Source organism: Homo sapiens, chromosome 13, assembly GCF_000001405.40.
Source record: "Homo sapiens chromosome 13, GRCh38.p14 Primary Assembly".
Taxonomy (NCBI): Eukaryota; Metazoa; Chordata; class Mammalia; order Primates; family Hominidae; genus Homo; species Homo sapiens.
Genome location: NC_000013.11, coordinates 21,234,285 through 21,246,409, shown reverse-complemented (window position 1 = coordinate 21,246,409; position 12,125 = coordinate 21,234,285). Strand labels below are relative to the sequence as shown.

General features: G+C 42.3%; 1 long non-coding RNA gene across 1 annotated transcript; it reads right to left on the bottom strand.

Annotated features, from left to right (window-relative positions):
• Positions 1–11,205: 11,205 nt before the first annotated feature.
• On the bottom strand, positions 11,206–11,842 carry LINC01046 (long intergenic non-protein coding RNA 1046). Its single transcript, NR_125745.1, has 2 exons — positions 11,757–11,842; positions 11,206–11,524 (listed from the first exon to the last, which is right to left on the bottom strand). It is a non-coding gene; the product is annotated as a long intergenic non-protein coding RNA 1046 (long non-coding RNA).
• Positions 11,843–12,125: the final 283 nt, after the last annotated feature.

The following is a 12,125-nucleotide window of genomic DNA, read 5'->3' as shown; positions in this document are numbered from 1 at the left end:
TCATCTAGCACAGAGGTGTTCACTGTTTGAGAAGAGACAGGCTGGGGATCTGAACATTCATTCAGATCCATCCCCATCTCTGAGAAAAAGATTCCAACATAGCATCTGTTGATATGGATTTGAGTAGGAAATGGGCCTCATGCACTATTCACATTCATCTTTTACCCCTCAATCCCATATGTGCAGTCCTCATCCCAGTAGACTTTATATTAGTCAGTGGAAGGACAGCTTTGTACATTGTAATGAAGCTGGCCAGCACTTTAATTTTTTGAGGGAAGAGGTATTTTGCTCCATTTTTGCATTTGGCCTATCATGTCTTATAAACATTTCTAGGCTTTTCTCTTTCTCTAAATTTCAAACTCCTCTTGAAGAATACCTATGTCTTACTTATTTTAAATTTCCTAACAGCTCATTGCTTTGCACATTGCAAGCTTAGAGTGAAATTCCTGGGAAATGGATTAACCATGAGAAATTACTAAGCAGTCATGGAGATGAGCTGTGAAAACGTATTCTGGTGATACGGTGTAAATTATCCATATCAATCACACATAAAAAACATGTAGATTTAAGAAAATAAGGCCGGGCAGGTGGCTCACGCCTGTAATCCCAGCACTTTGGGAGGCCGAGGCAGGCAGATCACGAGATCAGGAGATCGAGATCATCCTGTCTAACATGGTGAAACCACATCTCTACTAAAAATACAAAAAATTAACTGGGCGTGGTAGCAGGCGCCTGTAGTCCCAGCTACTCAGGAGGCTGAGGCAGGAGAATGGCGTGAACCTGGGAGGTGTAGCTTGGAGTGAGCCGAGATCACGCCACTGTACTCCAGCCTGGGCGATAGAGCGAGACTCTGTCTCAAAAATAAATAAATAAATAAAATAAGTGCAACATTACACTTTCACAATAAACCCAGACTTCTGTTTATTGGACCTTTGGGAATGGATGAGGGACTCTTTTGGTGTTAATGCCATTGAGTCTTGGATAAGAAAACCCTACCTTTTCATCTTTTATGACAAAGTTATAAATTAATTTCCTGGAACTTAGAGAAAATAATACCATACTTAAATGAAGTTTAGGTATCTGAAAGTCACACTAAGGCCAAGAAACAGCAGGAACAAGGGAAAACACTAGAACCAAGTGGTCCTAGATGAGGTGGTCAGTTTTCTGTATTTGAGAGTTGATTGAATATGAGAAGAAATTTTATGTCCCCTCCACAACTTACATCAGCTTCTCTCAGCACAGTTGTGACCACTCTGTTGGATTCTTTGGGGAGGATCACAGAAAAACAAGACGTGACTTTTCTGCTCTCACGAGGTTTGCCTCTGGCCTGAATGCCTCCTCCAGATATAGGCAATCCAGGTGTGTGCTGGCATGTCCACTCGGATGACCTGTTGTGTTTCACATTCGACATACTAAACCTCATTCATCTAAACCATGGCATGTGGAGCTTGGAGGAAACTTAGCTTTACCTCCTAGGGTTTGCTGATGGAATATTGTTGCCGGACTCATTTCTTCTTGCCCTGAGGATCCTTTCCCGTTCCACTCCTGCCATTATACAATCATCAATTCACACAGCCCCTCACTGTGATCCTCCCAACAGATCATGATTGCACTTTGGATTCCTATAGTACTATGTTTGTACTTCATTCCTTAACTTAGTGTAACCAATGTTTAAATTAAATATTTAAATGTATTTAACCCATACTTACTTCCCCATCACTTTGCGAATGTCTTGTGGAAAAAGAGTATCTTACTAATCTTGTGTGCCTTTCATGTTTCTTTGCACATAGTGTACTATAAATATTTGTTGAATGAATGAGTGAAGAGAAAAGGAAGACTGTCTAAGATGGGTCAATTGATGCCAAAGTATTTGCAGACAATACATTTTGTAGATGCTCATATTTTTATATCGCTGCTCTAGCCTTTTAAAATATGCCATATTTGGCCGGGCGTGGTGGCTCACGCCTGTAATCCCAGCACTTTGGGAGGCCAAGCTGGGAAGACTGCTTGAGCTCAGGAGTTTGAGACCAGCCTGGGCAACATGGAAAAACTCCATCTCTAAAAAAAAAAAAAAAATTAGCCAGGCATACTGGTGTATGCTTGTAGTCCCAGCTACTTGGAAGACTGAGGTCAGGGAATCACTTGAGCCCAGGAGGTTGAAGCTGCAGTGAGCCATGATCACACCACTGTACTCCAGCTTGTGTGACAGAGTGAGACGTTATCTCCAAAAAAAACAGAAAAAAAAAAAAAAAAAAAAAAAAAAAAAAACAAGAAAAAACAATCCTGCCAGATTTACTTTGATTGGTTCAAATCTTTAGAGACACAGCCTCTACTATCACTTGTAATATTTTAAATCCCTTGAAAACAGTGGTGTGATCTTACAGTGGAAAATTCACCAACCTGCCAACCCTGAAATAGACTGAGCCTCTACGCCAGACTCTTTCTTTGTTTATTGGATTTATCTAGTGCCTTTGATTTAGAGCTGAGAGCACATATGCTAGTCACCTGGAGAGATCCCGTATTTCAAAACAACCGATAGCCAATAAGAATGGGGAAGACAGCAGACACTGTCTCTGATGTTGACATATCCTGCTTTGTCTCCCCTCGCTTTCCCTTAGCAAAGAAATATTTCATATTCACAGCACAGTCAGTACTCCTTGCCTGCCACCAGGCCCGGAGCGAGAAAAGCCCAGAAAGGAGGACCTAGCAGGTACCCAGGCCTCTCGAAGTCACAGCTGGTGGCGTGAGGGACCAACCATCCATCACACCAGACCACACAGCGTCTGGTCTCAGCCTGCTCATGGCCCAGCCTCTTAAGGCGATCGGCTCTTCTCCTCTCTCTGCCTCATCTCACAAATCTTCCCTCTGGCCCTCACCCTCCTCCCATCTCTGCTTTCTGCCTTATCTCCTTGTCACAGTACTAGAAAGGGCGAGCCGACCAAAGCCGTCCTGAGAACTGCCGTGGTTCTGGTCCATTAGCAGCACACAGAACAAGTGAGGAGGGGTGGGCAGAACAGACAGGATCCTGCCAACTGTGAGTGAGTAACAAGCGTATCCATGCAAGGTTTTCCAGCTCACGTGAAGCCGTGTCTCTTGGAAGGTTACCCCTATGGCTCCTCCAGGAAGGAACTGCACCTCCCGCCTCTCAGCCTCTGCTGGCACCTTTCCAAACACAGAGGTGCTCTGCCGTACCCAGCAGACAGTTATCTTCACAGTGCAGGGACAAAGTGATACCTGTAAGAGAAGGTGAAGCAGAGAAAGCTAGAGAAAATGTTGCAGAGAAACCCTTCCAACTGAAATGATGAGCCAGTAGTCGTCTTTTTATGCCCATCCTCTTCCACCTCCCTCTCCACAAAAATAAATAAATTAAAGAAATTCAGCACCTGTGGAAAACTCTGCCAAGAGGAAATTACCTCCTGTGTGGTTTGTCAGATTCATGTTCTTCACACTTTCCATGGGAACAAAGGCTGTCTACATATTTCCTGTCAAGTGAAGACAATGGTGAGGCTCTGAAAACCATTTTGAATCCTTGGGTTATCTGGGGAGGAAGTTATTGAAAAAAAAATAGCCTGTAGGAAAATGTTTGATTCCATTTTATTCAGGCTCGGGATAAATTTCTTATGGCATTTCAGGGCAGTGGAGAAGTCACGGGGACAGGAGAACAGTGGGTGAGTCCTGTGTCAATCAGAGTGCAGGGCTGTGTTTTCTGGCTATTGCCATGTAACAAACTGTTTCAAAACTTTGTGACATAAAGCACTGATTTTATTATGCTCATGTGTCCTTGTCTCCATTCTGTGATGCTGGGGCCTTGTCACTGGCTGTCGGCTGGGACGTGCTGGGGTGATGGCTGGAGAACATTTGACCTCTCCAAGCGGCCTGGCCTTCCTCACTGCAGTGGCCTCTGAATTGTTAGCTTCCTTACATTACAGCAAGTGTGCGAGTCGGCAGGTGGAAGCTCTGCTGTCTTTGTCACCTAGCCTCAGAAGTCACATAGCATCACTTCCGCTGCCCTCTCCTGGTGGGAACAGTCATAAAAGCCCACCCATTTTCAAGGCAAGAGGACATAGCCTGCGCCTCTCAAAGGGAGGATTGTCAAAGCCGCACTGGAAGATCACGTAGGTTGGAAGATAGCATGGCTGCTGTATTTGAGAGATTGTGCTGTGCTCTATGTAGAGGTTTCTGTAGGAAATAAACGAGTTGAGTTCTCTGGTGAAAACACATCTGAAAACGTGTTAATAGGAATATAGCTAATCCTTAGCATTTCTTGTAGTAGCTAAGGTCAGTGTACCTGAGCAGTAGTCTTGATGCTAAGCTAACAACAGGTAGCCAAAAGGAGTGTTTTCTAGCTATTTGGAAATTGAAATTCAACCAAAAAAGCTACTGCCGCTCTGAATCAGTTACATCATGATACCTTAGATCTAAGCTACCTTTTTTCCTGAATAATAGAAGGTTACATTGATTAGAAATTATGGGAAAAGTAGATTCCTTCATATAAAAATTGATTAAAGTTTGATTCTATTCTCTGTTAAAGTAAGAAGCTTTTTAAATAATTGAGTTCTTTGAAAGAATTTTTATATTTTATATTTTTTTACCTATTTAGCCATGATAAATAGAATCAGATAAGAGACCAAGTGTGAATATTCCCCACAACCTTCAACCAGGTGTACGTATGTATTTCTCTCTATGTTCTACAGGACTCAGCAATGTGTAGTGCTTATGAGTTCTCATTTGACAGAGGAGGACTCCTGTGTGGAATGCCATGTAATGGCCAGGTGCGGTGGCTTATCCCTATAATCCCAGCCCTTTGGAGGCCTAGGCAGGAGGATCGCTTCAGGCCAGGAGTATGAGACAAGCCTGGCAACATAGTGAGACGCCCCCACACACACATACCACTACAAAAAAAAAAAAAATTAGCCAGACTTGGTGGCACATGTCTGTAGTCCTGGTCACTGGGGAGGCTGAGGTGTGAGGATCATCTGAGCCCTGGAAAAGTTCGAGTCCTCAGTGAGCTATGATCACACCATTGCACTACAGCCTGGGTGATAGAGCAAGACCCCATCTCTAAAAGAAAAAAACAGATATATATATAAGTGCCATGTAATCATTTACACTTTTATTTCTTGTCTCAATTCTGGTTTTTTTTCTTGAGCAATTTCTTCTTTTCATTCTCATGAAAGTTAAGGTGATGATATTTTATAGATATAGGAATATCTATAAAGATACAAGGGAAATGATTAACAATTATTATCTACTGAGGACTGGAATTGGGGGTATTGTCTACTTTGCAGTTCATATGCATACAATCACCCACAAACTGTGTATCCACGTAGCCTTCGCTGCCATTTGTCCTGAGCCTTTTCAAGAAGCTCAAATCCTAGAATGATTGAAACATCTTAGATCCCAAAGTGACTTAAGAACCATGCTAGGAATTAATCCTGCTTCCTAGAAAGTTACACAACAGCAGCATTTGTGGCAGTGCCACAGCAAGCCGGGGACTGGCCCACGGGCGGTACGCTGTCATTCCCAGTGCTCTCTCTGCCTTCCAGAGTAACAGGAATTTGCCTCACGTCTGTGACTCATTTGCTGGAGCTGTTAAGTGATGATGGTTTAAAATCTCAGGGAAGTAAAGCCACCACTTACTGAGCACTTCCTGTGTGCCGTGCACTCAGTTGTAAACACATGATTTTATTTCATCTTGACGATAATCCTTTAAAAGAGCTTTTATTATCCCAATTTTCCAGATGAGGAAATTGAAGTTCTGGGAGGATGGGTAACTTGTAGAAGGTCACACCGTATGTGAGTAATGGACCCAGCCTCTCCACCTACTCTCAGCCAATTATAGAGATTAAATTAGAAGCAGCTCTTCCTTTCTTGGAAAAGTAAACCTAATGGGAACCTCAGAAGCCATAAAGGAAAAGAGTGATTAATTTAGCCACATAAAAATCGAAGGCTTCTGCTCAAAAAACTGCACCAAAAACTTGGATCAGGGATGTATAACAAACTAGTGGGGTGGGGAAGGAGACTGCCAAGCTGTGATAAAAGGCCAATTTTTAAAACATAACAAAGAACTTTTTAACAGTCAGTAAGCACGAGACATACAGACTGCTGTGAACATGGGACGGGATGCTCAGCTTCACTCGTGATTAGAGAAATACAAATTATTTGCTGCAAATTACATTTTCAGCTGTAGGTTTGACAAGGATTTTAGAAGTGGATAATGTTAAGTGCCGTCAAGCGTGCAGGACAACAGGTACCCTCCATCTCCATTATCTGTGGACATGCAAATCGGTACAATTCTATATAAAAACTGAAAATACACATACTCTTTGACTCAGCATTTGTTTATTCCACAAATATTTTAGTATAGGTATTCAAAGATATGGGTACTGTTCTATTCATTGCCATGCCAGAAACTTCATCAATAGATGACTGATTAAATAAATTGTAGAATGTTTATACTACCAAACACTAGTAGCCATTATTATTTTTTTTTACTTGAATCTTGTTTTTTATTTTAGCACTTTATACAGCTTGTCTCATTAAGTGTCACCTAGCTAAGATTTTTTTTATAGGGCAAGGCACATATATTTTGTTTTGTTTCATTTTTGCTCTGGATCTCATGTGTAGCAAGTAGAGATATGAAATTAAATATTCCATAATAGGTATGCCCCCTAAGTAGCCATTATAAAGTGTTCTATACACCATTAAGTAAAGAAGACAAAGATATATTGAAAGAACTAAGGTATACAATATTCTATAAATTATTCCATTTTTTGTTTGTATAAACATGTAGACTTTTGTGCATAGGAAATATCTACAAAGATACAAGGGAAATCATTAACAATTATTATCTACTGAGGACTGGAATTGGGGGTATTGTCTACTTTGCAGTTCATATGCATACAATTTAAATTTTTTACTATGAACATGTATCATCTTTTATAATAAAATGCTAATTTCTAAAAATACAGTGTAGAGGACATTCATTTATTAGGGCGCTATTTGCAGGAAGCAGCATAAGTAAATCATCCCATGTTGACAGATAGAACTTATCCAACCGTAGTGAACAGATATCAATGACTTAATAAGCAGTAAAGATAATAAAAAATTTAGCAAAACCAACTAGAACCTCTTGGGAGTGAGTTTCTCTAGCTAGATGAGTTCTTCAGCCTAGCAGAAATAGGAGAAAATAGTTTTTTTGGAAAAATACTTTCTGAAATCTTATCCAATTCCCTGTATATGTTAATACCTTTTTTTTCTATTTACTGAAGTGACACATTCATTGTCAAAATCTGGAAAATACCAGTAAACTCACATGGGCTTTATTTTTAACAGGCTACAAATTTAAATACAGATAACAATTGCAAGATTATGTCTAAGCATAGAGAGGAAATTGATGGCTGAACTGATGATTGATTAGAATGACTTTTGTCTTTTTAAAACTGAGTTATATAAGAGGTAAAGGAAACAGACTGATGGCTGGAGAATTTGACAACGTATAAGAGAATCTGAGAATTCTTTTGAAAAATACTCAAATTTCCAGCCAAGATAGAGTCACATCCACCATTGAAGGGAATCTTAAACCATCATTGCATTAAACTTTGGAGATGAAAGTCTTCTTACTCCTTCATTTTACAAAGAAAAATCGGGGTCTATTTTTTTCATTAATTCAATTTTAAAATAACAAGTATCCAATGCAATACTCTTTCCACTTCCTGATCCTGTCTGATGCAAGAAGAATATTTTTCTAGGACATTGCCCATTATTCACTTGAGGAATAAGTATGGCTTTCAACAAACAAAGGCAAAATCATGAGATATAACTAAAATTGATGATTCACCTTTGAAGTAGTTTCAGGTCATTATTTTAATACCTTGTTCACACAGAACCTGTTTTACATTCATTTGCAGACTTCAAATAACTCATTTCAGGGTGAAGTTTAGATGAGTGACGTTAGAGCCCTCTGAACTCTCTTTGGTTTGGCATGAAGTGAGAGGTCTGAAGAGAATATCAAGCTAAATGCTCAACTTAAAAGCAACACTTGTTTTTTTAATTTAAAAAATCCAATATTATTTCAATTTTCTTAACGACAGATTGTGTCATGCTCTTTAGTTAGAACTCAATGTAGAAAATGGAGCATGGGTTGAAGTAGACAGCAGAAGTGAAAGCCAAATAAAGATGTCCAATTCTCACTCGCTGTGATATGGGAGGACAAGGGAAGAAAAGGTAAAGCACCGCAGCCAACAGCACTGATTGAGGAAATATCTTACTCGCAAGGTTTATTAGGCCATTCTTGCATTGCTATAAAGAAATACCTGAGACTAAATAATTTATAAAGAAAGAGGTTTAATTAGCTCTTAGTTCTGCAGGCTGTACAGGAAGCATGATGCTGGCATATGCTCGGCTTCTAGGGAGGCCTCAGGAAGCTTACAATCATGGTGGAAGGCAGAGGGGCTGCAGGCACGTCACATGGTGAAAGCAGGAGCAAGTGAGAGAGAGTAGGGGGAGGGAGGTGCCACACACACCAGAACTCATGAGAACTCACTGTCCCAAAAACAGCACTGCGCCATGACGGATCCACCCCCATGAGGCAAACACCTCCCACCGGGCCCCACCTCCAGCAGTGGGGATTATAATTCCGCATGAGATTTGGGCAGGGACAAGTATCCAAACTGTATCACAAGGAAAACTTCAGGAGCTGAGGCAACACTTCTAACATGTGGGGTCTTGCCAAGTTTCGCCAGTGGTCCTGGAGGTTAGGTGAGTTACTAGGATCAAGATCCTCATGCAATATCCCCCATATAAATGGAATCTGGGCAGTCCTCCAGCAGGCTCACCAGGCCTCAGATCACCTCTGCCAGGTTCCTGGAACTGGCCAACAGGGTGTGGGTCCAGCTGATTAGTGTAACAGTCAGGGTCAGCCAGGCTTGTGTTGCAGTAACAAATCACCTGAGAATCTCTGTGAATTTACCCAACAGAAGTGTGTTTCTCACTCTGGCCATGTGTGGGTGGGGTGCCCTCTGCATCATTCTCACACACAGCTGGTCTGTGGGGGATCTATTCTCTCGGTTGTTCCTGGGGCTGCTGTGCTGCGGGGAACGAAGCCACACCACCTGCGTGCCCTGCCAACTGCTAAGGGGCGGGCACAGGCAATTCGCCCATGTGCCTGGAAGCAGAGGGAAGGCACTGTACTGTGCAGGTAACTCAGACTGCCGGGAAGGACTGTATATCAAAGTAGACTACAGTTCACAGGGTCTTTGGGATCCTGGTAGGGCCTTTTACAAGCCCACCCCATAGCAACGGCCCCCTGTAGAGTGGCGTTGAATGTGATAGGGTTACTTCTCCACAGGGAGCCTGCTACCAGGATCATTCAGACTTCTCCAAGCCCATCTTCTCATTAACTTTTTTAATGGTCTCCCACCTCATTCCTTCCCCTTTAAGTCTACTTCTGCTAAGGGATGCTTGATTCCTCTTTGCAGAGTTCAGCTTTGGTTACATCACTCCCTCACACAGAAATGTTTGGAGGTTTCCCATTCTCTACAGTTTTGCAACTCAAACTTGTCCATAGACCAGCAGTATCAACATCAGCTGGGGTCTTGCTAAAATGCAACCTCTCAGGCCCCACCCCAGAACTGCAGAATCAGAGTCTGCATCTTAACAGGATCACAGGAGATTTCTTTTCTTCTGTTTTCTTTTCTTTTTTGATGGAGTCTCACTCTCTCACCCAGGCTGGAGTGCAGTGGTGCAATCTTGGCTCACTATAACCCCTGCCTGCCAGGTTCAAGCAATTCTCCTGCCTCAGCCTCCTGAGTAGCTGAGAGTACAGGTGCACGTTACCATGCCCGGCTAATTTTTTGTATTTTTAATAGAGACAAGGTTTCACGTGCTGGCCAGGCTGGTCAAGATTTCAAATATTAAAGTTTGAAAAGCATGTATGCCTAGTATTGGGTCTCAAATTTGGCAGCACAGTTGAATTATCTGGAAAGCTTTAAAAACTGCTAATTCCCACTTTCCAGGTCTGGAACGGGACCTTGCACCGAGATCTTTTAAAGCTCTCAGGTGACTGTCGTGGGTGAGAATTTGAGAACTCTGGAGTTAGGGAACTCAGGTGACACTCCCAACCACCCATATTGTGGCTCCCAAACCTTCCCTGTGCCATCTTTCACTCTAACTATATCAGGCTGACCTCCAGTTTCCGAACACCCTATGCTTTTATATAATGTGTTTTAGCCTATTACCAGAAGTCACCAGACATTGTACATGCCTTCTTCTCATGACTGGAGAGGGTCTAGGATGACTGCATATAAATTTATCATTGAAAATGCCATGGCTACAAGGCACAGAGACATAAATACATGAATTTACTCAATTGTACATTTAGTTTTCCTGATTAATAAAATGTAAGACCTGATTCCTCCAGATGACAGCTTACTATGGTACTACATATCTTTTTTTGTTTTAGTCTTATTGAACATCAAAAATATGAGGGTAATTGGAAGAATATGCTTGTTTCATTGATTTAACATTGGGGGTTATAAACTGAGGAGCTTTTAAAAACATACACAGTGCAGTAGCAGTAGCAACTGCTTTTCCTTTTTTTGTTTTTTTTTTCATTTTGTTTTGTTTTGTTTTTGTTTTTTGAGATGAAGTCTTGCTCTGTTGCCCAGGCTGGAGTGCAATGGCGCAATCTCAGCTCACTGCAACCTCCACCTCCCGGGTTCTCCTGCCTCAGCCTCTCGAGTAGCTGGAATTACAGGCACGCGCCACCATGCCCAGCTAATTTTTGTATTTTTAGTAGAGACGGTGTTTCACCATGTTGGCCAGACTGATCTTGAACTCCTGACCTCGTGATCCACCCCCCTCTGCCTCCCAAAGTGCTGGGATTATAGGCGTGAGCCACCGTGCCTGGCTGCAACTACTTTTCATTACTCTCACTGCTTCACCTCCACTTGTGATCAGTGACGCATGTTTGAGAGACACCTGGCTTTGGAGACAGAAATCAGGATCCTTGACCTCTTTATTACCTTTCCTAATGGAATGAGGTTGCACACATGGGCCGCGCTCTGCTGCACACATGGGCCGCGCTTTGCTGCGCACCGGCAGTTCACAGAGCCCCGTAGTTTTGGGGAGCACTCCTCTGTCACTACAGTGCCTATTGTAAAACCTTAACCACGGGATTATTTTTTCCAAAAGACCTCAGATAAATACTTACTTGATGTTTTTATTCACACAAGGTGTTAATTTCTAACAAGACTTTTATGAGCACAGCAAACAGCAGTTGCTTTTTCATGTGAACATTAAGTAAGACTCAAGGTATGAAAAGCCTGCTGCAAAGGATCCAAAAGGATCTGTGGGATTTGGTGGGCTGCAGCAGACAAATGGCCTGCCAGTCTGTGACAAGTGTGCAGTCACCGTGGGCGCCACCCTTGGGAGGCACAGGATCCACTAAGTCGTCGGGATTACCGGGCTCTGTCCGTAGCAGCTCCTGGACAGTTAGGGCCCTGTATGCACATCTCTGCAAAGGCTGTTGGTCAAACACATGAAAAGCCGGTATTAGTGGTGTCTGCCTGAGCCACCGTAAATCACCTCTCCCTCTGGGCTGCCACTGCATTGCCTGTGCACAGCCTGGAGGCATGGGGCGTGTGTCACTGGGGGAAGCATGCAGTTCAGGAGTCCTGTTATGTCCACATGAATGTGAATATGAAAGCATGCCCTGGCGCCTCTGTGCTGGGCTATTATTGGGACCAAGGACTCACACACAACAGTGATGTCATCCAGATGCACAATAGAAGATTGTACTGAAACGTCAGAAGCCAGATACCAGGTTTTCTCTCACAAACGGTTGTTTTAAGTGCCGATATCACGGCTTGACAATGTTAGTGCTGGCAGGACTTTTGTTTTTCATTATCCCCATCTTCATCCTTAAACGAACTGTAGAGATGCAGAGAAATAGTCATTAGAATGAACTAAATTAAAAGCAGGAAGCGGTTAACTTTATGTCGACTCTAAGATAATGTTAGTAAATAAAAAGGCTAATTGGAATTCTCTGTATTCTGATAAGAACTTTTTATTAGTAAGTTATTTGTGCTTTAATGGGCTGCTTGTGGCATGTGGTTGAGTTGTGA